This window comes from Homo sapiens, chromosome 11, assembly GCF_000001405.40.
Source record: "Homo sapiens chromosome 11, GRCh38.p14 Primary Assembly".
Classification (NCBI taxonomy): domain Eukaryota; kingdom Metazoa; phylum Chordata; class Mammalia; order Primates; family Hominidae; genus Homo; species Homo sapiens.
The window spans coordinates 6,603,634-6,627,694 of record NC_000011.10 but is presented as its reverse complement, the minus strand read 5'-3'; the positions used below and the strand labels follow the sequence as shown (position 1 = coordinate 6,627,694).

The following is a 24,061-nucleotide window of genomic DNA, read 5'->3' as shown; positions in this document are numbered from 1 at the left end:
TTTATATGTGCATGCCCTTCTCTGCAGATGGGGACCCATCAGGAGCCTTTGTCCTAGACCTTGCTTCTGGAGAGTTTGGCACCATGCGGCCACTAGACAGAGAAGTGGAGCCAGCTTTCCAGCTGAGGATAGAGGCCCGGGATGGAGGCCAGCCAGCTCTCAGTGCCACGCTGCTTTTGACAGTGACAGTGCTGGATGCCAATGACCATGCTCCAGCCTTTCCTGTGCCTGCCTACTCGGTGGAGGTGCCGGAGGATGTGCCTGCAGGGACCCTGCTGCTGCAGCTACAGGCTCATGACCCTGATGCTGGAGCTAATGGCCATGTGACCTACTACCTGGGCGCCGGTACAGCAGGAGCCTTCCTGCTGGAGCCCAGCTCTGGAGAACTGCGCACAGCTGCAGCCTTGGACAGAGAACAGTGTCCCAGCTACACCTTTTCTGTGAGTGCAGTGGATGGTGCAGCTGCTGGGCCCCTAAGCACCACAGTGTCTGTCACCATCACGGTGCGCGATGTCAATGACCATGCACCCACCTTCCCCACCAGTCCTCTGCGCCTACGTCTGCCCCGCCCAGGCCCCAGCTTCAGTACCCCAACCCTGGCTCTGGCCACACTGAGAGCTGAAGATCGTGATGCTGGTGCCAATGCTTCCATTCTGTACCGGCTGGCAGGCACACCACCTCCTGGCACTACTGTGGACTCTTACACTGGTGAAATCCGCGTGGCCCGCTCTCCTGTAGCTCTAGGCCCCCGAGATCGTGTCCTCTTCATTGTGGCCACTGATCTTGGCCGTCCAGCTCGCTCTGCCACTGGTGTGATCATTGTTGGACTGCAGGGGGAAGCTGAGCGTGGACCCCGCTTTCCCCGGGCTAGCAGTGAGGCTACGATTCGTGAGAATGCGCCCCCAGGTGGGTCCCCAGCCATTTCTTCCAGATTCAGACTCCCAAATGGGCTGGGGTTGTGCTTTGAAAATGTCCCCCAAACTCTCCCAGTCTCGCGCTCACAGTCCAACAATACCGTTCTTTCTGCAGGGACTCCTATTGTCTCCCCCAGGGCCGTCCATGCAGGAGGCACAAATGGACCCATCACCTACAGCATTCTCAGTGGGAATGAGAAAGGGACATTCTCCATCCAGCCTAGTACAGGTAAGAAATAGGAGCAGGGGCTCTGTGCAGGACAGGCTACTGGGGAAGCAGGTTCTTTGCATCAGAGGAGCCTTTGATGGGTGAAGGGCTGTCCTTGAGTAAGGGGTCTTAGAGAAGGAGGCTCCAGGGCAAGCAAAGGGGGCTATCACTGATGCATTCTATCTCGCCCAGGTGCCATCACAGTTCGCTCAGCAGAGGGGCTAGACTTCGAGGTGAGTCCACGGCTGCGACTGGTGCTGCAGGCAGAGAGTGGAGGAGCCTTTGCCTTCACTGTGCTGACCCTGACCCTGCAAGATGCCAACGACAATGCTCCCCGTTTCCTGCGGCCCCATTATGTGGCCTTCCTTCCTGAGTCCCGGCCCTTGGAGGGGCCCCTGCTGCAGGTGCGGGGTGTGATGGAAAGATTGGGCGGGGGAGCAGGGCTAGTCAGACTTGTCTGTGGCCAGACCAGTCCCAGCAGCCTCCTACCCTCACCAGGTGGAGGCGGATGACCTGGATCAAGGCTCTGGAGGACAGATTTCCTACAGTCTGGCTGCATCCCAGCCGGCACGTGGATTGTTCCACGTAGACCCAACCACAGGCACTATCACTACCACAGCCATCCTGGACCGTGAGATCTGGGCTGAAACACGGTGAGGCCTGGCCCTGTGGACCCAAGACCCCATCTTGGGCCTGTCCAGTTTCAAGCCCTGCCTTGAACTCATCTGGTCCCTTGGCCACATCCTGAATTCCCCAGCCCTAAGCTCTGTCCTGAGTCCTCCTGGCCCTGCCCAGAGTTCCCCCTTATTGCCATGTCCCACCCGATGATTGTGCTTTGTGTCCAGGTTGGTGCTGATGGCCACAGACAGAGGGAGCCCAGCCCTGGTGGGCTCAGCTACCTTGACGGTGATGGTCATCGACACCAATGACAATCGCCCCACCATCCCCCAACCCTGGGAGCTCCGAGTGTCAGAAGGTGAGGCTGGGTAAAGTGGGTGGCATAAAGGGTGGCAGAGAGACATTTTTCTCCACCCTGCAGCTCAAGGTGGGGCTGTGTCCATTGCCAAACACACTAGTCTCATGTATTCCAGATGCGTTATTGGGCTCAGAGATTGCACAGGTAACAGGGAATGATGTGGACTCAGGACCCGTGCTGTGGTATGTGCTAAGCCCATCTGGGCCCCAGGATCCCTTCAGTGTTGGCCGCTATGGAGGCCGTGTCTCCCTCACGGGGCCCCTGGACTTTGAGCAGTGTGACCGCTACCAGCTGCAGCTGCTGGCACATGATGGGCCTCATGAGGGCCGTGCCAACCTCACAGTGCTTGTGGAGGATGTCAATGACAATGCACCTGCCTTCTCACAGAGCCTCTACCAGGTATTGACACCCATGGATCCACCTACACCTGGGCCTGGGTTGTTCCTGTTGGAGGGAAGTATCAGAGCTAGCAGCTGCTGAGGTGGGCTGGACGTTGGAGCTGATCTGGGAATGGGAAGGTCCCAAGTCCTGTGAACTACATCCTGGTTTTGCATCCTGTACCCAGAAAGGGGAGAAGGTGGGCATTTCCCATTCGAATACTTAGGAGTAGGGGCTCCAAGTTGGAATAGACGCCAAGCAGGGCACAAGGAACCAAGCTCCAGAACAGGCTGCATGGACAGCAGGGCAAATGGGAAGCCTGGCAATAAGCACTTTTCCTCACACTTCAGGTAATGCTGCTTGAGCACACACCCCCAGGCAGTGCCATTCTCTCCGTCTCTGCCACTGATCGGGACTCAGGTGCCAACGGTCACATTTCCTACCACCTGGCTTCCCCTGCCGATGGCTTCAGTGTTGACCCCAACAATGGTGCGTCTTTCCCAGGATCTGCCCCTTGCCTTTGACTGTGTTGGGCTGTAATCTGACCTCATTCCTTGAATTTGTTACTCAAACTCTTTAACTCCTGGATCTCTGGCCTAGGGAGGACATTTCCTCCCCTCTGTCTTCATTATAAGCCCCTTGTTGACTGCATGTCTAGAAGCTGTTCCCTAAGCTGTGAATCCTTGAGGCCATCCCCTTGTCTCCCAGCAGATAGGCCATTCCCTGAGTCTGACTTCCAAAACCATTTCCTAGATCCTGAAGGGTCACTCTTCTGTTCACTCACAGCCTTTGCTGAATATATTTCTTTCCCTTCCGTTCTCATCTCAGGGACCCTGTTCACAATAGTGGGAACAGTGGCCTTGGGCCATGACGGGTCAGGAGCAGTGGATGTGGTGCTGGAAGCACGAGACCACGGGGCTCCAGGCCGGGCAGCACGAGCCACAGTGCACGTGCAGCTGCAGGACCAGAACGACCACGCCCCGAGCTTCACATTGTCACACTACCGTGTGGCTGTGACTGAAGACCTGCCCCCTGGCTCCACTCTGCTCACCCTGGAGGCTACAGATGCTGATGGAAGCCGCAGCCATGCCGCTGTGGACTACAGCATCATCAGTGGCAACTGGGGCCGAGTCTTCCAGCTGGAACCCAGGCTGGCTGAGGCTGGGGAGAGTGCTGGACCAGGCCCCCGGGCACTGGGCTGCCTGGTGTTGCTTGAACCTCTAGACTTTGAAAGCCTGACACAGTACAATCTAACAGTGGCTGCAGCTGACCGTGGGCAGCCACCCCAAAGCTCAGTCGTGCCAGTCACTGTCACTGTACTAGATGTCAATGACAACCCACCTGTCTTTACCCGAGCATCCTACCGTGTGACAGTACCTGAGGACACACCTGTTGGAGCTGAGCTGCTGCATGTAGAGGCCTCTGACGCTGACCCTGGCCCTCATGGCCTCGTGCGTTTCACTGTCAGCTCAGGCGACCCATCAGGGCTCTTTGAGCTGGATGAGAGCTCAGGCACCTTGCGACTGGCCCATGCCCTGGACTGTGAGACCCAGGCTCGACATCAGCTTGTAGTACAGGCTGCTGACCCTGCTGGTGCACACTTTGCTTTGGCACCAGTGACAATTGAGGTCCAGGATGTGAATGATCATGGCCCAGCCTTCCCACTGAACTTACTCAGCACCAGCGTGGCCGAGAATCAGCCTCCAGGCACTCTCGTGACCACTCTGCATGCAATCGACGGGGATGCTGGGGCTTTTGGGAGGCTCCGTTACAGCCTGTTGGAGGCTGGGCCAGGACCTGAGGGCCGTGAGGCATTTGCACTGAACAGCTCAACAGGGGAGTTGCGTGCGCGAGTGCCCTTTGACTATGAGCACACAGAAAGCTTCCGGCTGCTGGTGGGTGCTGCTGATGCTGGGAATCTCTCAGCCTCTGTCACTGTGTCGGTGCTAGTGACTGGAGAGGATGAGTATGACCCTGTATTTCTGGCACCAGCTTTCCACTTCCAAGTGCCCGAAGGTGCCCGGCGTGGCCACAGCTTGGGTCACGTGCAGGCCACAGATGAGGATGGGGGTGCCGATGGCCTGGTTCTGTATTCCCTTGCCACCTCTTCCCCCTATTTTGGTATTAACCAGACTACAGGAGCCCTGTACCTGCGGGTGGACAGTCGGGCACCAGGCAGCGGAACAGCCACCTCTGGGGGTGGGGGCCGGACCCGGCGGGAAGCACCACGGGAGCTGAGGCTGGAGGTGATAGCACGGGGGCCTCTGCCTGGTTCCCGGAGTGCCACAGTGCCTGTGACCGTGGATATCACCCACACCGCACTGGGCCTGGCACCTGACCTCAACCTGCTATTAGTAGGGGCCGTGGCAGCCTCCTTGGGAGTTGTGGTGGTGCTTGCACTGGCAGCCCTGGTCCTAGGACTTGTTCGGGCCCGTAGCCGCAAGGCTGAGGCAGCCCCTGGCCCAATGTCACAGGCAGCACCCCTAGCCAGTGACTCACTGCAGAAACTGGGCCGGGAGCCACCTAGTCCACCACCCTCTGAGCACCTCTATCACCAGACTCTTCCCAGCTATGGTGGGCCAGGAGCTGGAGGACCCTACCCCCGTGGTGGCTCCTTGGACCCTTCACATTCAAGTGGCCGAGGATCAGCAGAGGCTGCAGAGGATGATGAGATCCGCATGATCAATGAGTTCCCCCGTGTGGCCAGTGTGGCCTCCTCTCTGGCTGCCCGTGGCCCTGACTCAGGCATCCAGCAGGATGCAGATGGTCTGAGTGACACATCCTGCGAACCACCTGCCCCTGACACCTGGTATAAGGGCCGAAAGGCAGGGCTGCTGCTGCCAGGTGCAGGAGCCACTCTCTACAGAGAGGAGGGGCCCCCAGCCACTGCCACAGCCTTCCTGGGGGGCTGTGGCCTGAGCCCTGCACCCACTGGGGACTATGGCTTCCCAGCAGATGGCAAGCCATGTGTGGCAGGTGCGCTGACAGCCATTGTGGCCGGCGAGGAGGAGCTCCGTGGCAGCTATAACTGGGACTACCTGCTGAGCTGGTGCCCTCAGTTCCAACCACTGGCCAGTGTCTTCACAGAGATCGCTCGGCTCAAGGATGAAGCTCGGCCATGTCCCCCAGCTCCCCGTATCGACCCACCACCCCTCATCACTGCCGTGGCCCACCCAGGAGCCAAGTCTGTGCCCCCCAAGCCAGCAAACACAGCTGCAGCCCGGGCCATCTTCCCACCAGCTTCTCACCGCTCCCCCATCAGCCATGAAGGCTCCCTGTCCTCAGCTGCCATGTCCCCCAGCTTCTCACCCTCTCTGTCTCCTCTGGCTGCTCGCTCACCCGTTGTCTCACCATTTGGGGTGGCCCAGGGTCCCTCAGCCTCAGCACTCAGCGCAGAGTCTGGCCTGGAGCCACCTGATGACACGGAGCTGCACATCTAGCTGTGGCCCAGGCTGGGCCCCGACCTGGGATGCGCACAGTGTCCCCAACGCAGGCCCCACTCTGAGCCTGCCCTGGGCAGCCTCGGACTATGACTGGCTACGGGGAGGCCACCACCAGGCCCCAGCTCTCCACCCTGAACTCCCCAGCCCCCTCAGAGTACTAGGACCACAGAAGCCCTGTTGCTCACTGACCTGTGACCAGGTCCAATGTGGGGAGAAATATGAAGGAGGTAGCAGCCCTGGGTTCTCCTCAGTGAGGGATCCCTGCCCTGCACCAGCACCCTGAGATGGAGCTGAGACTTTATTTATTGGGGGTAGGGGGATGGAGGAGGTCCCTCCAACATGTTTGGACCCAGCTCCTTTGGGTTCCACTGACACCCCTGCCCCTGCCCCTGCCCAGAACCAAGTGCCATTTCTCACTCTGGAGCCTTAATAAACTGCAATTTGTATCCAGTCTCCAGCTTTGTTCTATAGGGATGACTGGAAGACACCTGGCAGAGTATTGTGGATACCTCAGGAGGCACAGAGGGGTGGTGGGGTGGGGATGGCACTGGGAGCTCAGGAGCCTAGCCTGAGGCTGATGATCACATCTCTCTGCAGCTATTCTTTTCCCTCTAATATGGGCAAAGAGGCCAGCAGGGCCTTGAGAGGGATCAGTTGGGTGGGAGAGGGGATCTTGGGGATGAGCAGCTCTGGGCCCGAAGTTCTTAAAATAAGTTGGGGTGGGTACAAGAGCAGTCAAGTGGTTTATTTGTTCTTCTTGGGGGCCACTAAAAATCCACATTGTAAAAAGAGCTCAATTTGTTGAGCCTTTGTCATGTCAGGCTCTCTGCAGGTGGCTGCCTTGCTTAATCTCAGTGTAAATTTTCACAGTCATACAAAGGGATTTGGGAACCACTGGTGTTGCCTGTTCTTTGGGGAGCCAGGCTGTGAGGGAAAGGCAATTGGCCAGTGTTTGAGAAGTTCATGAGATTGAGGAAATTAGAAAAAAAAAAAAAAGTTGTGGTCAAAGGGAAATGTTTCTGAGCATGATGCTAGTAAATACAGCTCTAGGATCCACGCTTAGTGGGAAACTGGAGGGATCAATGGACAGAGAGAAGTCAGATTAATAGGAGTGAGGAAAAACAATGGCTTGAAAAAACAGAAGGTTATAGTCTAAGAAAGCATTCTATAATTATAATTTCAAAGGTAGAGCAGTTTTGAGAGATAGCAAGCCCAATGCAGCCATGGGACTGGTTTGCTTAAGTGAAGTGAAGGTAATGCTCACTGGGTTTAATGAGATGAAGAAATGGAAGGTTAGGGTGTTGAATGGGTCTTTTACCTAGATATTTTGATCATCTAGGTCAAATGATCGCAGGAGTTGGGATGGACAGAAAGGTGAAGTGCCATAATCTTCAGTGTGGGAATATAATCTATAGGTTAATGGAAGCCAGTGGCCTGTAGGACAACAGCAGGAGTAGAGGGATCTATCTAAAAAGTATTGAGGTCAGAACAAGGGATTTCACATGAGTATTGGATTAATGGTTTTGGAAGTTAAAATGACACTGCTGACACCATCTTCCATATGGATTTTTGGGGGGAAAAAAAGGAAGACTGGAAGGGAATTGAATCCTCAGGGTTTTAACTCTCATTGAAAATCCTCTTGTAATGACCCCAGTTGGAAGTAGTAAACTCAGACCTCCTTGTGGGCTTTGAGTTACCATTAGAAGAAGCAAAGGTCCGTTTCCATTTTATCCACCTGAGCCCACTAAACAAGATGCAAGATTCCTCCATGGCCCTTAGAACAAAGTTGATTTCCTTGAAAACCTTGGGAACCCATAATAAACAGGACCCCAGCTGATTGTAGATCTCCTGGGAAGCTACTTAAAACTGGAAACTGATTTGAATAAAAGGATCCTGGTCTTGCAAAAGCTTTACTCTGTTCATAAATGTAGTCGTAAAATGAAGACAAAATTGATAATATGGGGACATAAAGGATAAAAGAGGAAAAAAATTTTTTCACTGCAATCTTTCGAGGCAGATCACTTTTATATAAGTCTCCATATTGTAAATGCAGAAACCTAGGCTCTGAGAGGTTATTTTGCTGATGTCATACAGCTAGGAAGAACCCCAGTCTGTGGGTCTCTACAGCCCACTCACTTGTGGTGATTCCCAGGGGACCAGGCTCAGGACGCAGGTGGGGAGCCCTGGGCTTACTCAGTGCTTGACTGGCCAGAGGGGAGAATCCGGGTGGCGGCCCCACCCTTGCCTAGCATTTGGGACCACCCATGCAAGGGAGGAGCCAGTACCGTCACTAGTTACTAGGCAGAGGGGTAGTGGTGGTGGAATATAGAGCTCATGTGATCCGTCACATGACAGCAGATCCGCGGAAGGGCAGAATGGGACTCCAAGCCTGGTGAGAAATTGAGAGGGCTCGGGAGAAAGGGATCACGTTGGAGGGAGCACACATTGGGAGGGTGGGAACACAAGGACAACGTAGCTCCCACTGAAACCCACCTGCTGCCCCTACAGCCTCCTAGGGCTCTTTGCCCTCATCCTCTCTGGCAAATGCAGTTACAGCCCGGAGCCCGACCAGCGGAGGACGTGAGTTGACTTAGCACAGACTGCCCCCTTCCCCATACCCTGTTCTGCCTCCCACTGTCCTGGTCCTAGCTTCTCTCACCCCCGTGCCAGCTCCTAGTACGCACTCCATAGCTTCATCTCTATGTTCCTAGCCTCAGTCCCCTATCATTCACCTCATGTGATCTGTATCTGCTCCTAGGATCCTCCCCAAGGTCTCAGCTCCTAATCTGGAACCTTCCATGACCAATATTTTCCATCTCCACCCTAACCAAAGCCATGTCCCTGACCCCTGACCCTACAGGCTGCCCCCAGGCTGGGTGTCCCTGGGCCGTGCGGACCCTGAGGAAGAGCTGAGTCTCACCTTTGCCCTGAGACAGCAGAATGTGGAAAGACTCTCGGAGCTGGTGCAGGCTGTGTCGGATCCCAGCTCTCCTCAATACGGTGCCTTTTGGGACTGAGGACAGGATGTGGGATGCGGTGGAGGGACACAGGGCTGGGTTGGGCATGGGATGGCGATCATGTCAGAGCCTGCCAAGACACTTGTGTTCCTCAGGCTAGAAACCTAAAAGGGGATGTGGTTCAGTATACAGGCTTTATGATCAAATACGAACTCAAATTCTGACTCTGCTACTTACTAGCTACCAGGCATCTAGTACAACTTACGTTCCTTCCCCTACCCTCAAATCCATTCTAATTTCCTCTTTTGTTCACATACTAAGGCTGCCAGTTCTAACTCCCAAAGAGCCTTTGGATTAATCTCCTTCTTGCCGTCTTTTGTTACGACCAACTCCGTTATTTATTCCCACTCCTGGACTACTGCCCAGCTCCCCAGCTGATCTGCAGTCTCCTCCCTCCACCCCACCCCTCACTGTACTCCCCCACTCTGCTTCAAAACAGTCTCTCCAACAGTCAAAATGGATTGGTTCCTTCTCCTGGTTAAAGCCCTTCACAGCAGGGGGAGTGTGTGCTTGTGAACTGCAGAGGCTGGGGACGGGGCAGTGTGACACTAGTGTGCATGGCAGGAAACAGTGACTCACCATCGTGTTAAGCTTAAAATCAACAAGTATGCAAATTTGAGCTAAACTGAATAACTGGTACCGAAAGATTTGAAAACATTTACCGGACATAAGCTTAAAATTAAAATGGAAAATTTATATGTATTAACCTCATTCATTTTCATGATCATGGCAATACATGCTGTGGTGCGACATTTGCAACTTACTGGCCTTTAGGGTAAATCCATATTATTGGCCATGGCATTTCAAGTCTCTCCAGCCTTTTCTTCCTCTGCTTCCCAAGTACACCCTACACCTGCACACATAGCCCTCCTTTACCCTGTTCCAGGCTTTGGGAAGTCCTGATGTCTCATAGTTGAGGTCCAAAAGGGGGAGTTTGGGAAAGCAATGAATGAGGGCAAGTGCCTCTTCTGAATCCCTGCAGGAAAATACCTGACCCTAGAGAATGTGGCTGATCTGGTGAGGCCATCCCCACTGACCCTCCACACGGTGCAAAAATGGCTCTTGGCAGCCGGAGCCCAGAAGTGCCATTCTGTGATCACACAGGACTTTCTGACTTGCTGGCTGAGCATCCGGTGAGAGGAAATGATTGCTCCATGGAGGGCACCAGTCATCCCATCAGTGAGATGGATGGGAGGGAGTTGAGAGCTTGCTGGGGCTTGTGGGTGGGAGCTAATGCATGGGGAGACAGTGACTGACTGCCCAGGGATGCTCAGAGGTAGCTTCTTCTGTTCCGTTTTGAGCTTTCTGACCTCTGTTCTCTGACCTCCAGACAAGCAGAGCTGCTGCTCCCTGGGGCTGAGTTTCATCACTATGTGGGAGGACCTACGGAAACCCATGTTGTAAGGTCCCCACATCCCTACCAGCTTCCACAGGCCTTGGCCCCCCATGTGGACTTTGGTAACACCTATGGGGTGAATGGGGGTTGGGGCACACAGATCCAGGGGCTGAGGAAGTTTAGATGCCATTGGGGACTGGGGGTGGGGTGAGTTGTAAGGTGGGCATTACAGTCTATAAGATCTCCTCAAGCCTGACTTCTCCCTACAGTGGGGGGACTGCACCGTTTTCCCCCAACATCATCCCTGAGGCAACGTCCTGAGCCGCAGGTGACAGGGACTGTAGGCCTGCATCTGGGGGTAACCCCCTCTGTGATCCGTAAGCGATACAACTTGACCTCACAAGACGTGGGCTCTGGCACCAGCAATAACAGCCAAGCCTGTGCCCAGGTGAGCCAAGCAAAGAGCCCCAGGGTCCTCATAGCCTCCCCACAGTGTCCTCAATTCCTTACCACCCTGGGACTCACCCTCGGACCCACGATCTCTGCTCTGACTCCCTCCATAGTTCCTGGAGCAGTATTTCCATGACTCAGACCTGGCTCAGTTCATGCGCCTCTTCGGTGGCAACTTTGCACATCAGGCATCAGTAGCCCGTGTGGTTGGACAACAGGGCCGGGGCCGGGCCGGGATTGAGGCCAGTCTAGATGTGCAGTACCTGATGAGTGCTGGTGCCAACATCTCCACCTGGGTCTACAGTAGCCCTGGTACTACCAAGAGGACTGGACAGTGGGGAAGGGGGTGGGAGATGGGTGTTGATCCCTGCTCCCTCAAGGGAATGCTATAAGCTGGAGAGAGATCCTGACAACCCCCAGTGACTATCTTTGTGCCCATCCCTCAAAAAAAAAAAAAAAAAAAATCCAGGCCGGCATGAGGGACAGGAGCCCTTCCTGCAGTGGCTCATGCTGCTCAGTAATGAGTCAGCCCTGCCACATGTGCATACTGTGAGCTATGGAGATGATGAGGACTCCCTCAGCAGCGCCTACATCCAGCGGGTCAACACTGAGCTCATGAAGGCTGCCGCTCGGGGTCTCACCCTGCTCTTCGCCTCAGGTGACCTCCTACCCTAAACTTAGACAATGCTTACACCTCTGCAGCCTGGGAGCTTTGACTCCACAGTGATCCCTGAGCCTGGTCTCTGACTCATAATCTGAACTCAGACCTTCCAGTAGGGACCACTGACCTGACCTCTACACTCTGACCTCCTACAGTAACAAATTTCCCCTCTGACATCCGAACCCACATACTAAGCCCTAACCAATTAATATGAATGCTACACTTGGTCTCTCTCAGGTGACAGTGGGGCCGGGTGTTGGTCTGTCTCTGGAAGACACCAGTTCCGCCCTACCTTCCCTGCCTCCAGGTAAGTACTCTAGCCTACCACTCAGGTATAACCACCACCTTTCACTTGTGATCTCATGATGTAGAACCTTTGTCTTGACCCCACCATGTGCTCCTGTGGTTCAGCCTTAAGCTTTGCCTGCCCTGGTTGCTGTACTCCTGTCTCTTCTTCCTGCAGGTCCCAGGCCCCAAATCTCTTGTGTGGGATACAGCTCCCATTGTTCCTTTTCGTCAGTTCCCAGGCATTTTAGTGGAAGATTTGGTGGGTGTTCTGTAGAGAAAAGTGTGCACAGTCACCTCGGGCCATGCCTTGAAGGCTCAAAATCTCTTAGTCAATCCCATATACATGCTTCCCCACAGAGTCTAGTTCCTCCAGCAAGACCTGGGCTATACTCACCCCTCCCCACATATCTTGGAGGTCCCCTTGGGTCCCCTACTATCCAAATGCTGTCTTCTCCCCTCAGCCCCTATGTCACCACAGTGGGAGGCACATCCTTCCAGGAACCTTTCCTCATCACAAATGAAATTGTTGACTATATCAGTGGTGGTGGCTTCAGCAATGTGTTCCCACGGCCTTCATACCAGGTACGTGTGTTTGTGTGGATGGATGCAGGGTAAGAGTGAGGATGGGGGATCCTCAGTTCAGCTGACTGCTGGGCAGGCCACATGCCAATACTCACTCAAAAATGCCTTTCAGGAGGAAGCTGTAACGAAGTTCCTGAGCTCTAGCCCCCACCTGCCACCATCCAGTTACTTCAATGCCAGTGGCCGTGCCTACCCAGATGTGGCTGCACTTTCTGATGGCTACTGGGTGGTCAGCAACAGAGTGCCCATTCCATGGGTGTCCGGAACCTCGGTGAGAATCAGCCCATCTCCAAACTCTCACTCAGGAACTACCCTTACCCCCTAACACCTTGAACACCTTGCACCTAGAACCCCTGACTCCTTAGAGATGTCTGATACTTTAAAGCATCACTCCCAAAAAGTCCAATCACTCAGAACCCCTGACCTCTACTTGCACCTTCACTCTTGTAGGCCTCTACTCCAGTGTTTGGGGGGATCCTATCCTTGATCAATGAGCACAGGATCCTTAGTGGCCGCCCCCCTCTTGGCTTTCTCAACCCAAGGCTCTACCAGCAGCATGGGGCAGGACTCTTTGATGTAAGTATGGAAGGGAAGGGTGTGGACGTTTTCAAACAACTATGGGGAGTGCTAAGGGGGACTTGGGGGCAGTTAGGGTGGTGTGGAATAGCCTTTGAAATGTGAGTACAGGGTGAGGAGATATACTCTTTAAGTACTGGTACTAGTAGGCCCAGATCTGATGCCAGCCTCCTCCCTAGGTAACCCGTGGCTGCCATGAGTCCTGTCTGGATGAAGAGGTAGAGGGCCAGGGTTTCTGCTCTGGTCCTGGCTGGGATCCTGTAACAGGCTGGGGAACACCCAACTTCCCAGCTTTGCTGAAGACTCTACTCAACCCCTGACCCTTTCCTATCAGGAGAGATGGCTTGTCCCCTGCCCTGAAGCTGGCAGTTCAGTCCCTTATTCTGCCCTGTTGGAAGCCCTGCTGAACCCTCAACTATTGACTGCTGCAGACAGCTTATCTCCCTAACCCTGAAATGCTGTGAGCTTGACTTGACTCCCAACCCTACCATGCTCCATCATACTCAGGTCTCCCTACTCCTGCCTTAGATTCCTCAATAAGATGCTGTAACTAGCATTTTTTGAATGCCTCTCCCTCCGCATCTCATCTTTCTCTTTTCAATCAGGCTTTTCCAAAGGGTTGTATACAGACTCTGTGCACTATTTCACTTGATATTCATTCCCCAATTCACTGCAAGGAGACCTCTACTGTCACCGTTTACTCTTTCCTACCCTGACATCCAGAAACAATGGCCTCCAGTGCATACTTCTCAATCTTTGCTTTATGGCCTTTCCATCATAGTTGCCCACTCCCTCTCCTTACTTAGCTTCCAGGTCTTAACTTCTCTGACTACTCTTGTCTTCCTCTCTCATCAATTTCTGCTTCTTCATGGAATGCTGACCTTCATTGCTCCATTTGTAGATTTTTGCTCTTCTCAGTTTACTCATTGTCCCCTGGAACAAATCACTGACATCTACAACCATTACCATCTCACTAAATAAGACTTTCTATCCAATAATGATTGATACCTCAAATGTAAGATGCGTGATACTCAACATTTCATCGTCCACCTTCCCAACCCCAAACAATTCCATCTCGTTTCTTCTTGGTAAATGATGCTATGCTTTTTCCAACCAAGCCAGAAACCTGTGTCATCTTTTCACCCCACCTTCAATCAACAAGTCCTCAATCAACAAGTCCTACTGACTGCACATCTTAAATATATCTTTATCAGTCCACAAGTCCTTCCAATTATATTTCCCAAGTATATCTAGAACTTATCCACTTATATCCCCACTGCTACTACCTTAGTTTAGGGCTATATTCTCTTGAAAAAAAGTGTCCTTACTTCCTGCCAATCCCCAAGTCATCTTCCAGAGTAAAATGCAAATCCCATCAGGCCACTTGGATGAAAACCCTTCAAGGATTACTGGATAGAATTCAGGCTTTCCCCTCCAGCCCCCAATCATAGCTCACAAACCTTCCTTGCTATTTGTTCTTAAGTAAAAAATCATTTTTCCTCCTCCCTCCCCAAACCCCAAGGAACTCTCACTCTTGCTCAAGCTGTTCCGTCCCCTTACCACCCCTGATACAACTGCCAGGTTAATTTCCAGAATTCTTGCAAGACTCAGTTCAGAAGTCACCTTCTTTCGTGAATGTTTTGATTCCCTGAGGCTACTTTATTTTGGTATGGCTGAAAAATCCTAGATTTTCTAAACAAAACCTGTTTGAATCTTGGTTCTGATATGGACTAGGAGAGAGACTGGGTCAAGTAAGCTTATCTCCCTGAGGCTGTTTCCTCGTCTGTTAAGTGTGAATATCAATACCTGCCTTTCATAATCACCAGGGAATAAAGTGGAATAATGTTGATAACAGTGCTTGGCACCTGGAAGTAGGTGGCAGATGTTAACGCCCTTCCTCCCTTGCACTGCGCCCCCTGTGCCTACCTCTAGCATTGTAACGACCACGTAGTATTGAAATGGCCAGTTTACTTGTCTGCCTTCCTTTCCAAGACCGTTGGTGCCTAGAGGACTAGAATCGTGTCCTATTTAACTTTGTGTTCCCAGGTCCTAGCTCAGGAGTTGGCAAATAAGAATTAAATGTCTGCTACACCGAAAACCTCACGCCTCTCATTCGTTGTGATTTTTGCATATGTTGTTGACTCAGGCTGAAACTCCTCCTCCTCCTACAGCAGCACTGTGTGCCGCCCCACTGCTGCCCCCACCTCTCGGGGCAGCTGGCGGAGAAGAGAGGGGGCTTTCCAAATCCACTATGAATCCTTAAAAGGCTGAATAAGGGAACTTGAAACGATGCAGACAGGCAGGCAACCCGTAGTCGAGGGACATAGGGCCATAAACGTCGAAGCCAGGTCTTGAGCGTCAGACAGAATGAGGTGTCCCAGAGCGGCGGAGGAGAGCCAGACGCACGCTGGTTCCGGTCTGGACGGAATCGCCGCGGAGCACGGCAGAGGCTAGGGCGGAATGGCTACGGCAGCGCAGTTCGCCAAGGCTCGGTCTCCGCCCTGCAGCCTATTTCCTCTAACCCGCAGATCCACTATGGGAGGAGGCGGGGAGCGGGCTGGAGAGCACTAACAGAGACAGGCGGGGCGAGTCGTGGGCGCGTGACGTCACCCCGGGGTGTGCGCGGCGCGAGCGGAAGCGGAAGCGGCTCTGTTCGCCGCCTCTCCCACCGGCCCGATGAGCTGCAGCGGCTCCGGCGCGGACCCCGAGGCGGCGCCGGCCTCCGCCGCCTCGGCCCCGGGCCCCGCGCCCCCGGTCTCGGCTCCCGCCGCGCTGCCCTCCAGCACCGCCGCGGAGAACAAGGCCAGCCCCGCGGGGACAGCGGGGGGACCTGGGGCTGGAGCAGCTGCTGGGGGCACGGGACCCTTGGCGGCGCGGGCCGGGGAGCCAGCTGAGCGGCGTGGGGCGGGTGAGGGCCGGGACGGGTGAGGGCGAGGGAAGCGTCTTGGGCTGGGTCCAGCGGCGGGTGAGGGCAGAGGGTATAGACAGACCTAGCTGGGGCCCTGCGCCTCCCACCTCTGTGTCTCATTTTGCTGGTTCTCCTCCAGCTCCGGTGTCGGCGGGTGGCGCGGCGCCCCCGGAGGGGGCCATATCTAACGGGGTTTACGTACTGCCGAGCGCGGCCAACGGAGACGTGAAGCCCGTGGTGTCCAGCACGCCTTTGGTGGACTTCTTGATGCAGCTGGAAGATTACACGCCTACGGTGGGCTTCCGCCCGAACAAGGCCACCTAGCCTGCTGTCAAAACTTTCAGCCACATCGTGCTTTTCAGCGTTCTCTTCCATTTGCTCCCCTAGTCGCTCTTCTGTGTTTGCCCTCTGCTCACCCAAACTGTGAGCTTCCTGATAATCAGGCCTATCCATTTCCCTCACCCTCCTCCCGCTCTGCTGACAGTTCTCTTAATTGATTTCTCAGATCCCAGATGCAGTGACTGGTTACTACCTGAACCGTGCTGGCTTTGAGGCCTCAGACCCACGCATGTGAGTAAACCCAGGGCAGGTTAGTTTTGGGTGCTTGTGCAGTATGTTGTCCATCTCCTTCTCATCTAAGTTTTTTCTCTCTAGAATTCGGCTCATCTCCTTAGCTGCCCAGAAATTCATCTCAGATATTGCCAATGATGCCCTACAGCACTGCAAAATGAAGGGCACGGCCTCCGGCAGCTCCCGGAGCAAGAGCAAGGTGTGAGGGGAGGCTTAATGAATCAGTAATTACCTTCCACAACAGTGGAGGCTTATCCTGCCACCCCTTTGGGGAAACTGAATCGTAGGGGAGGTGTAAGACTTACTCAGGGTCACCCATCTGGGATTGAAGTCCGGGATTCCTGTGCTCAGTTGGTGCTCTTCCCTCTTCCCTCAGGACCGCAAGTACACTCTAACCATGGAGGACTTGACCCCTGCCCTCAGCGAGTATGGCATCAATGTGAAGAAGCCGCACTACTTCACCTGAGCCACCCAACCTAAATGTACTTATCTGTCCCCATGTCCCCACACCAGCCTGTTTTCATAATAAACTTTATTGTGACAGGCGGGGCTGATCCCTCCCATGTTGGGAGACACCATGTGGCAAGTGACAAAGCTCTGAGCCCGCCCCTCTTGGGGCCACAGTGGTAGGGATGGGGGAAGGGGATGGACCCCATGGCTGGGGTAGTACCATGACTGGAGGCGGGGGAGGCAACCAGAGGCCTGCTGCTTTGGGGAGGTGCATTCCCCCAACCATGTCCCGACACCTCTGGAGTTCAGGCAAGGACCTTCCAGTCCTACTTGTCCTGCATCTTCTCAAGGATAGGCACAATCATGTCAAATTTGGGTCGCTTTGCAGGGTCTTCATTCATGCAGATCTTCATGAGCTTACACACATGAGGGGAAATACCTGGTGGGATGGTAGGCCGAAGGCCTTCCAATGCCACCTGCGAATACAAGAAAAAAAGCAGCCTCACAATTTGAGTCTGTCATGTAGAGAGAAGCCACTGGCCCTTGGGACAGGATTACTGTATATCCGAACAAATATGTGAGGAGCCAAGGCCCACTACAGTTATTTTCACCATCACCAACCACTCCCGCAACACAAATGTATGCTGTTGTGCTCTCACCTTCATTCCAATCTCCATATTGGAGAGGTCAGCAAAGGGTACCTCCCGTGTCACCAGTTCCCACAGAAGCACTGCAAAACTCCACATGTCTGCTGAGCGTCTGTTTGTGTCTTCAGGCTTCTTCTGCAGAGCTGGAGAGATAGGGCTTGTCTGTTCTGGCCCCCTTGCCTGTCCTGTCTCTGCCCCCTTCCACTACTTCTGAGGTGGTCCTTTTTTACCTCCCGACATGATGACTTCACTCACCTTCGGGGGCTACCCAGGCAGGTGCATACATGCGACCAGGACATTGGAAAGAGAACTTGACATCAGCCATGCTAATTCGGGCAGTCATGTCCTCATCAATCTGAGGAAGAGAAAACAGATAGAAGGAGGTAAGTCATAGATAGGCAAAGGGCTTTTGGGGCCTGGGCCAGGAGTGAGCTTGTGGCCTCACCATTACACTACGGCTATTGAGTGCATGTCGTGGGATGAGGGGCTCTAGTGTGTGTAGGAAGGCCATGCCCCTTGCCATGTCCAAAGCAAACTTCACAGCCTGGCTCTGGTCCACGACGAAATCTGAGAGGAGGCAAAAGTCAAATAGTTCAGAGAGGCTCCCTCTCTGCCATTTCCTCCCCAAGGAAATTCAACATCCCTACTCACTGGTGCCTTCATGTAGTACATTGTAGAGGGATCCATACGGCATCCAGTGTGTGATGAGAGTAGGATGAGGAGCAGGTGGAGACTGGCAGGCACCTAGCACTGGGAGCACATTTGGATGCGAGAAAATCCTAGAAGAGGGAGGGAGTGGTTGAGACCCAGTACAAAAGATCTCTTTCAGTGCTATTCAGGGTTCCTTGGAACTAGCAGCTTCCAGGTTACGCCTTGCACTACCTGAGCCGGGGACACTCTTCATTGAAGTCCCTGCTCTTCCTTGTACTCCAGTCTCGAACCTTCAGCACCTTCACGACAATGTCATTGCCCTGCCAGCGGCCCTTCCATAGCTGCAGGACAGGTAGGGGTTAGGAGGCTTGAAATGTTGCTGCCACTTCCTTGCCCACTAACTGGAGGAAAAACTTAAAACAGGTACAAAGCAAGTAATTTATGGGGGTTTAGTGAGGGAAGGGCAAGAAGGGCAGGGGTCACCTCTCCAGAGTGATTCTCGTTGAGCTTCGTCAGGAAGTTAAGCTGTTTGAAGTCAATGCCAGAGTGTTTGTTCAGGGTTCCATTTCCTAAGAGTGTGGGCAGGTCAGGTACCCAGCTTCACCCTAACCCAGCCCCAAGAGGCCAGGATTATTTCCTTTTACAACCCTTCTTCCCACAGTGGTGACTCACGGGGCCGAGTGCGGGTGGTCCCCTTCCAGAATGTGTCCTTGTATGGAATACGGTTGAGATTCTGGCCCATCTTCTCTGCCCGCTCTAGGGAAGAAAAACAACCTAAGCTGTGGTACAGAGGGAGAAGACAGGTGGGAAGGGACGAGAGGACACAAGCTAGGGGATGGGGAGATGGACCTCGGAGAAGCTCTCTCAGGGGTGCCTTGGCTTTGTCCACAGGCATCTCTCCATACTTGTTACAGATGCTGACAAGGGCCCCATTTGCCACCAGGTCCTGGAATGAAAAGGCCATTATGATGAGAGCCACTGCTACCTCGCTGGCAGTCACTGAACCAACCATGAATGCACAAATGTAGAACTTAATCCTGTAAGTGTCACACAGTAGTACTGACAGAATGGGTTGAGGGTTCCAAAATCTCCCACCAAGGCTCAGACTTTACTTCCTACCCATCTCAGGAATTAAGGGCTGAGTACTCACCTCTGCCACTTGATCTTGGCCCCAAAAACAGGCATAGTGCAGGGGCACATTCCCGTGTTCATTCACTGCATTGATGTCTGCCTTGTACTGCAATAGCTGGACCCCATGGCCAGACAAAAAGAAGAGGCAGAAAGTACAGTCAGTTCCAAATGAGATACTGGTGTCAGGGCATGGGAAAAGGGGGAAGAGCACACATGCTTTCTACTGTATGTTACAGTGCCTGTGACTGACCCTCATGGCATGTATGTGATGTGGATGACGAAGGAGTTTGTACGTACCTTCTGTACAATATCACGGTGTCCATGACTGGCTGCCAGATGCAGGGGGGTGTCATCCCCACGGTTCATTACATTGATCCGTGCCCCCCGCATGATCAACATCTCAACCACAGCAGAGCGGCCCTCTCGGCAGGCCCAGTGCAAGGGGGAGAAGCCATGATCGTCCCTTTGAGGAAGGGGCAATGGTCATTGAGCTGGAGGTGGGATGGGGCAAAGGTTTTGATTCCTGAAAAACTGATAATTACATACTCTCTGGGAAGGCTTACCTCTCTAGGACTTTGATTCTCATTCATGCCAGCAACTCCCAAAGCTGTCCATTTCAGACCTTCCCCTGAGCTTCAAACCAAACCAACCACCTAGATATCTCAACAACCTCTATAAAAAAATGTGTTATCTTCACCATATCCCACATCTCATTTCCTTAGGTGGTAGTGCTCTTCCCCTGGTTTCTCTTGCACCCCTTCTGCAACATCTATTGGTCCTTTCTGTTTTCCACCACATCTTATATGTCCCCCTACTTCAGCACTTGTTGCACTGGATTGTAAAAATCTGTTAATGGACTGTCTTGTCTGTTAGACCTTTAAGTTTCTTGAGGGAATGGATTGACAGCAGCTGTTCAGTGCATGTTAGTGGGGGAGAAGGGTGTCTTGGAGAAGGCAGGCCACAACTTATAGAAGAGGGAACAAACTTACTATTTGGCTCTGGTACTGAAACTAACATCTAAAAATGGAATGGAATTTAAATGATGTTTTGGAAGGGTTTATGTTGAAAAGGAGAAATGCTTTTGACTACTGATGAGGTAGATAACAAACCACCATGCAAAGCAGGATTCCCCTACTTAGCAATCCTGTGCATAGAAAACAGAAGAAAATGAGAATGGCTGTTTTGGGATTAAAACTATACCTGATTTTTTTCTTTTCCAAGAAATATGTATTTTATAAAGTAAAGTATACAAACAAAACAAAACAATTGGTTTGGAGCTGGGCCTGCCTGACAGCCTGGGGCCATAAAAGGAAATTCCCTCCAGTTCGGGGCTGCAGATTCAAGGGGCGGAGCAGGGGGCGGTCCGTGGTCTGGGCCAGCAGCCTCCGGATGCCTTAGTGTTGTGGTCACTTCCTGTGTGCGACTCTAGGCAAGGCCTGGAGCTGATCAGGGGTCTGGCCATCCAGATGCCCGTACAGCTGAAGGGGTTGGGGGGTGTGGCCTTTAAGTTAATCATTTTCCTCCACAACTTGCTCGCATCTGCTAACACAGAAATAGCCAAAAGCTTTTCCTTGAGATGGGATTATCCCCAGGAAGCATTACGCCCCCTGTTTATCAGTTGGTCTTGCCTCCTAGACCTTTAATTTGTGCCCTGACTTATCAGCTTCCAGTACTGCCTGTGGCGCCAGGGCAGGCCAAACTCGGGGGGCAAAAGTATGGGCACAAGGGTTCTGTTCACTATCAGGCTGCCTGCCACCTCAGGGCCTGGACTTCTATCTCAAGAAGACCTGCAAGGAATTAACCCCCTCTTCATATCCAGCATATAGCCAACTTTGGCCCCCATACTTTACTCCTCAAACCAGCACCACAACCTTCCAGTTTCATTAATTCCACCCCTTTTCCTTCTGGCAGCATCTTCCTAGAGTCTTCCTAGACTCAGCTAGAGTCTTCCTAGATGCTAGGCCCACTGGGCAACTGCCTAAGCCTCTATTTCCTCACCAACAAAACAGTAACAGTGCTTACTGTCTTTATCAGGGTACCCTTTGAGAATTATATGAAAAATGGAACAAATGACTTTGCAAAGTATTAAAGAGAAATAGTGTAGAACCTAATGGGAACCAGTGAAGTCTAGACTAAGATGACAGGTGATCCTGACCTGTCAAACCTAAAAACTAAACTCCACCAATTTTAAAAAATAAAGAATTTGATTTTGCCACTCTGAGTCACCATCACTACTGCTCTTCTTGCCTTCCTATCTCAGCCAACCTTGTAGAACTGGTGTACATTCACTTTCACTATTTGCTCACCTCTCAACTTTTGTTTTCTTTTTCTTTTTTAAGACAGAGTCTTGCTCTGTGGCCCAGGCTGGAGGGCAGTGGCATGATCTTGGCTCACTGCAGCCTCTGCTTCCCGGGTTCAAGCAGTTCTCCTGCCTCAGCCTCCGAGTAGCTGGGATTACAGGCGCACGCCACCACGCCTGGCTAATTTTTGTATTTTTAGTAGAGACAGGGTTTCACCATGTTGGTCAGGCTGGTCTCGAACTCCTGACCTCGTGATCCACCAGCCTCGGCCTCCCAAAGTGCTGGGATTACAGGCGTGAGCCACCGCGCCCGGCCTACTTTTCAATCTGCCACAAATCTGCTGTATCGAGAGCAGAGATTATGTCAGATTCTGGACTCTAGCACCCAGCACAGAAGGTGTTCATCATAGTGCCTTAAATTAAGGAACCCAATGTAGTCTGATTTCTTCACCCATTATTCTGAAACAACACTCACAGATGGTCAAATACATCCTAACTGCACACTGAGGGGAGCAACAGACACTGGGGCCTACCAGAGTGGGGCGGGTAGGAAGAGGGAGGGATCAGGAAAAATAACTAATGGGTGCCACGGCTTAATACCTGGGTGATGAAATGATCTGCACAACAAACCTCCATGACCTGAGTTTACCCATCCAACAAACCTGCACATGTACCCCTTAACTTAAAAAAAAAAAACCCAACTGTAAATTCAATGGCTACTTTAAAATATTAATGTTCTTTGATCTCTCAGTAGCCTGTACTGCCGTTGACTACCTCCCCTTCATTAAAACATTCTCTTCTGTAAGCTTTACTCACACATTTTCCTATTTCTTTTTCAACTTGCGGTTGCTCCTTTTCTGTCGTGCAGGCTTCCTGTCCCCTGACCTCTTGCCTTCCACTCTCCTGAGACGTTCTCCTTCACAACCACGTCTTCAAGTATCATCTATATATATGATATATATATGCTATCTATATGCTGATAGCTCTCAAATCTGTGTCTCCAAGTCAGATTCCTCCCCTGAATTGCAAATCTGCATAACCAACAACACACTCAACATTTCCACCTTGCTGTATTGTCACCTTAACTTTAACATGTCCAAAATAAAATGCCTCATCCTCCAGTTTTCTCCATCTCAGTAAAAACAACCAAGTTCCCAAGCCAGAACCCTGGTCCTCATCTTTGCCCTTACTCACTCCCCACACCAAGTTCCACAATTCTTCGTCCTAAAGACTTCTGGAATTTGATCACTTCTCTTTTTCACTCACCCTAATTCTAGTCCAAGACATCATTACTTCTACGATGAACTAGGCAATTGCCTCCTTTCCACCTGCTCTTCACAAAGCATCCAAGACGATACTGAAAAATGGACAATCTCATTATGTCACTATACAGCTTTAAAACCTTGCTTTTAAAATAAAGACCTTCTTATAGCCTAAATATGCTTGCATGATCTGGCTGATCCTTGGAGACCTCTACAGTCTTATGTCCTGTTCTTTTCCTCTTGTACCCAATGCTCCGACCCACAGAGATCATCTATCCTCCAGCCATATGGAACTCCAGACAATTTCCTGTTCTCTCTGCTCTGTGCCTTGCCCCCTAGCCTTTGGCCATGCAGTCTACTGAGGCTGGAAAGCTCTCTGTAGCCTCTGCCTGTGAAACTCTTATTCTGCAGTCAAGATTCAGCTCAAACTGCGTCCTCTGTGAAAACCCTCTGCCCCCCACAGGCTATGCTTAGCACTCATTACACTGGCTAGCAAAGGCAGCCGCCACCACCAGACATGAGCACTCCACTCCACGTAGCCAGGAGATCTCTAGCCTTCCTCTCATCCACCAACCGTTTCAGCTCACCCCTGGTTGAGGTCGTTCTCCGTGTTGTCCAGCCACAGGCGAACGGCGACTGCGTTGCCCTCCCGGCACTGAGTGAAAATGTCGTCCATAGCAGCGTCCCGGCGCCGAGTCCCCTGGATTGGGGAAGCCTGAGGACTGTGGAGTGATCCAGGGAAGGAGGATGAACCCCAAGCTTTATCCTCTACAGGAGAGAAGTGTTTGTGTTGGGGGTAGGGGGCCTGAGCTGCGTCCCCGGCTAGTGGGGGTCTGTGAAGGAGTTCGGGGCTGCGGGATGATCCCTGGCTGTGTCCTCTAGACGCGAGGTAAAGGCGGGTCAGGGTGGGCAGGGGGTGACGAAGAGGTAGTGTCTGCTGAACGGATGTCCGAGAGCAGGCAACTAGACCCTATCCGCGAACAGAGTTGGGGGAAGTGGGGAGGTTCAGGCTCCGTATACTCTGGGAGAGGGGACCGGGGGTCCTCCCCAGGGTTGGCTCCGTTCCTTACTTGGGACTCAGGAGAAGTGAGGGGTGACAGGGGGCGCGGGTCCTCTCGCACTCACCGGGACTCGGGCTGCAGGATCCTTCTCCGGGGAACTCCCGTCCGGCCGCGCCCGCAGCCCGCCGCCGGCCCCGCCCCGCCCGTGGCGCTCTTGGGCAGCGCGGGCCTCCGTCCCTCCCCTCCCACCGCCTCCCTGCCCTTCTAGCCGCGCCTGGCTAAACTCGATGGTTCGCTGCGCCGCGCCGGCCGC

At 52.9% G+C, this 24,061-nt stretch overlaps 4 protein-coding genes across 13 annotated transcripts in view, besides 15 other annotated features; 3 read left to right on the top strand and 1 right to left on the bottom strand.

The window, feature by feature from the left end:
• Nucleotides 1–6,365, top strand: part of DCHS1 (dachsous cadherin-related 1) — a 34,480-nt gene extending 28,115 nt beyond the window's left edge. The window contains exons 14-21 of the mRNA NM_003737.4: nucleotides 28–906; nucleotides 1,030–1,143; nucleotides 1,315–1,526; nucleotides 1,621–1,775; nucleotides 1,968–2,098; nucleotides 2,214–2,497; nucleotides 2,827–2,965; nucleotides 3,305–6,365. Coding sequence (NP_003728.1) covers nucleotides 28–906; nucleotides 1,030–1,143; nucleotides 1,315–1,526; nucleotides 1,621–1,775; nucleotides 1,968–2,098; nucleotides 2,214–2,497; nucleotides 2,827–2,965; nucleotides 3,305–5,916 — 4,526 coding nt within the window. The 3' untranslated portion in view covers nucleotides 5,917–6,365. The remainder of the gene's footprint in view (nucleotides 1–27; nucleotides 907–1,029; nucleotides 1,144–1,314; nucleotides 1,527–1,620; nucleotides 1,776–1,967; nucleotides 2,099–2,213; nucleotides 2,498–2,826; nucleotides 2,966–3,304) is intronic.
• Nucleotides 5,153–5,222: an enhancer, noted in NCBI's record as "active region_4351". NCBI's record gives its function as "activates an Ori minimal core promoter by ATAC-STARR-seq in GM12878 lymphoblastoid cells {active_cell/tissue: GM12878}" and the evidence as "EXISTENCE:reporter gene assay evidence [ECO:0000049][PMID:35858748]".
• Nucleotides 7,903–7,952: an enhancer, noted in NCBI's record as "active region_4350". NCBI's record gives its function as "activates an Ori minimal core promoter by ATAC-STARR-seq in GM12878 lymphoblastoid cells {active_cell/tissue: GM12878}" and the evidence as "EXISTENCE:reporter gene assay evidence [ECO:0000049][PMID:35858748]".
• TPP1 (tripeptidyl peptidase 1) lies at nucleotides 8,273–14,927 on the top strand. Its single transcript, NM_000391.4, has 13 exons — nucleotides 8,273–8,311; nucleotides 8,428–8,499; nucleotides 8,780–8,919; nucleotides 9,919–10,069; nucleotides 10,267–10,394; nucleotides 10,542–10,720; nucleotides 10,836–11,034; nucleotides 11,192–11,380; nucleotides 11,621–11,690; nucleotides 12,133–12,253; nucleotides 12,366–12,524; nucleotides 12,704–12,829; nucleotides 13,009–14,927. The coding sequence occupies exons 1-13, from the start codon at nucleotides 8,295–8,297 to the stop codon at nucleotides 13,147–13,149; spliced, it is 1,692 nt and encodes a 563-aa protein (NP_000382.3). The 5' UTR covers nucleotides 8,273–8,294; the 3' UTR covers nucleotides 13,150–14,927.
• Nucleotides 8,503–8,552: a silencer, noted in NCBI's record as "silent region_3107". NCBI's record gives its function as "represses an Ori minimal core promoter by ATAC-STARR-seq in GM12878 lymphoblastoid cells {active_cell/tissue: GM12878}" and the evidence as "EXISTENCE:reporter gene assay evidence [ECO:0000049][PMID:35858748]".
• Nucleotides 15,003–15,052: an enhancer, noted in NCBI's record as "active region_4349". NCBI's record gives its function as "activates an Ori minimal core promoter by ATAC-STARR-seq in GM12878 lymphoblastoid cells {active_cell/tissue: GM12878}" and the evidence as "EXISTENCE:reporter gene assay evidence [ECO:0000049][PMID:35858748]".
• Nucleotides 15,103–15,232: an enhancer, noted in NCBI's record as "active region_4348". NCBI's record gives its function as "activates an Ori minimal core promoter by ATAC-STARR-seq in GM12878 lymphoblastoid cells {active_cell/tissue: GM12878}" and the evidence as "EXISTENCE:reporter gene assay evidence [ECO:0000049][PMID:35858748]".
• On the top strand, nucleotides 15,479–21,401 carry TAF10 (TATA-box binding protein associated factor 10). Its single transcript, NM_006284.4, has 5 exons — nucleotides 15,479–15,737; nucleotides 15,877–16,031; nucleotides 16,243–16,307; nucleotides 16,392–16,506; nucleotides 16,684–21,401. Exons 1-5 carry the CDS (start codon nucleotides 15,506–15,508, stop codon nucleotides 16,771–16,773), a joined length of 657 nt encoding a protein of 218 aa, NP_006275.1. The 5' UTR covers nucleotides 15,479–15,505; the 3' UTR covers nucleotides 16,774–21,401.
• Nucleotides 15,523–15,622: a silencer, noted in NCBI's record as "silent region_3106". NCBI's record gives its function as "represses an Ori minimal core promoter by ATAC-STARR-seq in GM12878 lymphoblastoid cells {active_cell/tissue: GM12878}" and the evidence as "EXISTENCE:reporter gene assay evidence [ECO:0000049][PMID:35858748]".
• Nucleotides 15,633–15,832: a silencer, noted in NCBI's record as "silent region_3105". NCBI's record gives its function as "represses an Ori minimal core promoter by ATAC-STARR-seq in GM12878 lymphoblastoid cells {active_cell/tissue: GM12878}" and the evidence as "EXISTENCE:reporter gene assay evidence [ECO:0000049][PMID:35858748]".
• Nucleotides 15,633–16,275: a biological region, named in NCBI's record as "NANOG-H3K27ac-H3K4me1 hESC enhancer GRCh37_chr11:6632651-6633238".
• Nucleotides 15,688–16,275: an enhancer, noted in NCBI's record as "NANOG-H3K27ac-H3K4me1 hESC enhancer chr11:6632651-6633238 (GRCh37/hg19 assembly coordinates)". NCBI's record gives its function as "activates a minimal SCP1, AML or CMV promoter by ChIP-STARR-seq in primed H9 embryonic stem cells {active_cell/tissue: H9 hESC(primed)}" and the evidence as "EXISTENCE:reporter gene assay evidence [ECO:0000049][PMID:30033119]".
• Nucleotides 16,276–16,864: an enhancer, noted in NCBI's record as "H3K27ac hESC enhancer chr11:6632062-6632650 (GRCh37/hg19 assembly coordinates)". NCBI's record gives its function as "activates a minimal SCP1, AML or CMV promoter by ChIP-STARR-seq in primed H9 embryonic stem cells {active_cell/tissue: H9 hESC(primed)}" and the evidence as "EXISTENCE:reporter gene assay evidence [ECO:0000049][PMID:30033119]".
• Nucleotides 16,825–23,921, bottom strand: ILK (integrin linked kinase). Of its 10 annotated transcripts, none has more exons than XM_011520065.2 (13): nucleotides 23,818–23,921; nucleotides 23,335–23,515; nucleotides 19,484–19,649; nucleotides 19,206–19,301; nucleotides 18,905–19,001; nucleotides 18,728–18,811; nucleotides 18,539–18,624; nucleotides 18,287–18,396; nucleotides 18,056–18,183; nucleotides 17,850–17,971; nucleotides 17,660–17,759; nucleotides 17,417–17,547; nucleotides 16,825–17,233 (listed from the first exon to the last, which is right to left on the bottom strand). In XM_011520065.2, exons 2-13 carry the CDS (start codon nucleotides 23,421–23,423, stop codon nucleotides 17,084–17,086), a joined length of 1,359 nt encoding a protein of 452 aa, XP_011518367.1. In that variant the 5' UTR covers nucleotides 23,424–23,515; nucleotides 23,818–23,921; the 3' UTR covers nucleotides 16,825–17,083. The 10 variants fall into 10 exon arrangements, with proteins under 10 accessions (XP_011518367.1, XP_005252961.1, NP_004508.1 ...); XM_005252904.6 differs by having other exon boundaries at nucleotides 23,335–23,469; NM_004517.4 differs by having other exon boundaries at nucleotides 23,873–23,921.
• Nucleotides 20,442–20,736: an enhancer, noted in NCBI's record as "tiled region #730; HepG2 Activating DNase unmatched - State 1:Tss, and K562 Activating DNase unmatched - State 5:Enh". NCBI's record gives its function as "activates a minimal TATA promoter and a strong SV40 promoter by Sharpr-MPRA in HepG2 and K562 cells {active_cell/tissue: HepG2 | K562}" and the evidence as "EXISTENCE:reporter gene assay evidence [ECO:0000049][PMID:27701403]".
• Nucleotides 21,388–21,587: an enhancer, noted in NCBI's record as "active region_4347". NCBI's record gives its function as "activates an Ori minimal core promoter by ATAC-STARR-seq in GM12878 lymphoblastoid cells {active_cell/tissue: GM12878}" and the evidence as "EXISTENCE:reporter gene assay evidence [ECO:0000049][PMID:35858748]".
• Nucleotides 22,900–23,059: an enhancer, noted in NCBI's record as "active region_4346". NCBI's record gives its function as "activates an Ori minimal core promoter by ATAC-STARR-seq in GM12878 lymphoblastoid cells {active_cell/tissue: GM12878}" and the evidence as "EXISTENCE:reporter gene assay evidence [ECO:0000049][PMID:35858748]".
• Nucleotides 23,290–23,529: an enhancer, noted in NCBI's record as "active region_4345". NCBI's record gives its function as "activates an Ori minimal core promoter by ATAC-STARR-seq in GM12878 lymphoblastoid cells {active_cell/tissue: GM12878}" and the evidence as "EXISTENCE:reporter gene assay evidence [ECO:0000049][PMID:35858748]".
• Nucleotides 23,840–24,049: a silencer, noted in NCBI's record as "silent region_3104". NCBI's record gives its function as "represses an Ori minimal core promoter by ATAC-STARR-seq in GM12878 lymphoblastoid cells {active_cell/tissue: GM12878}" and the evidence as "EXISTENCE:reporter gene assay evidence [ECO:0000049][PMID:35858748]".

Excerpts from the sequence above, each read along its gene's own strand:
- TPP1 (NM_000391.4), top strand. Across the intron at positions 11,691-12,132 it reads CCTACCTTCCCTGCCTCCAG|CCCCTATGTCACCACAGTGG; the intron begins GTAAGTACTCTA and ends TTCTCCCCTCAG. Across the intron at positions 12,525-12,703 it reads CATGGGTGTCCGGAACCTCG|GCCTCTACTCCAGTGTTTGG; the intron begins GTGAGAATCAGC and ends TCACTCTTGTAG.
- TAF10 (NM_006284.4), top strand. The coding sequence starts at position 15,506 with ATGAGCTGCAGCGGCTCCGGCGCGGACCCCGAGGCGGCGCCGGCCTCC. Across the intron at positions 15,738-15,876 it reads AGCTGAGCGGCGTGGGGCGG|CTCCGGTGTCGGCGGGTGGC; the intron begins GTGAGGGCCGGG and ends GTTCTCCTCCAG. Across the intron at positions 16,308-16,391 it reads GAGGCCTCAGACCCACGCAT|AATTCGGCTCATCTCCTTAG; the intron begins GTGAGTAAACCC and ends TTTTCTCTCTAG.
- ILK (NM_001014795.3), bottom strand. The coding sequence starts at position 23,423 with ATGGACGACATTTTCACTCAGTGCCGGGAGGGCAACGCAGTCGCCGTT. Across the intron at positions 19,650-23,334 it reads GAGAACGACCTCAACCAGGG|GGACGATCATGGCTTCTCCC; the intron begins GTGAGCTGAAAC and ends CCTTCCTCAAAG. Across the intron at positions 17,234-17,416 it reads ATATGGAGATTGGAATGAAG|GTGGCATTGGAAGGCCTTCG; the intron begins GTGAGAGCACAA and ends TTGTATTCGCAG.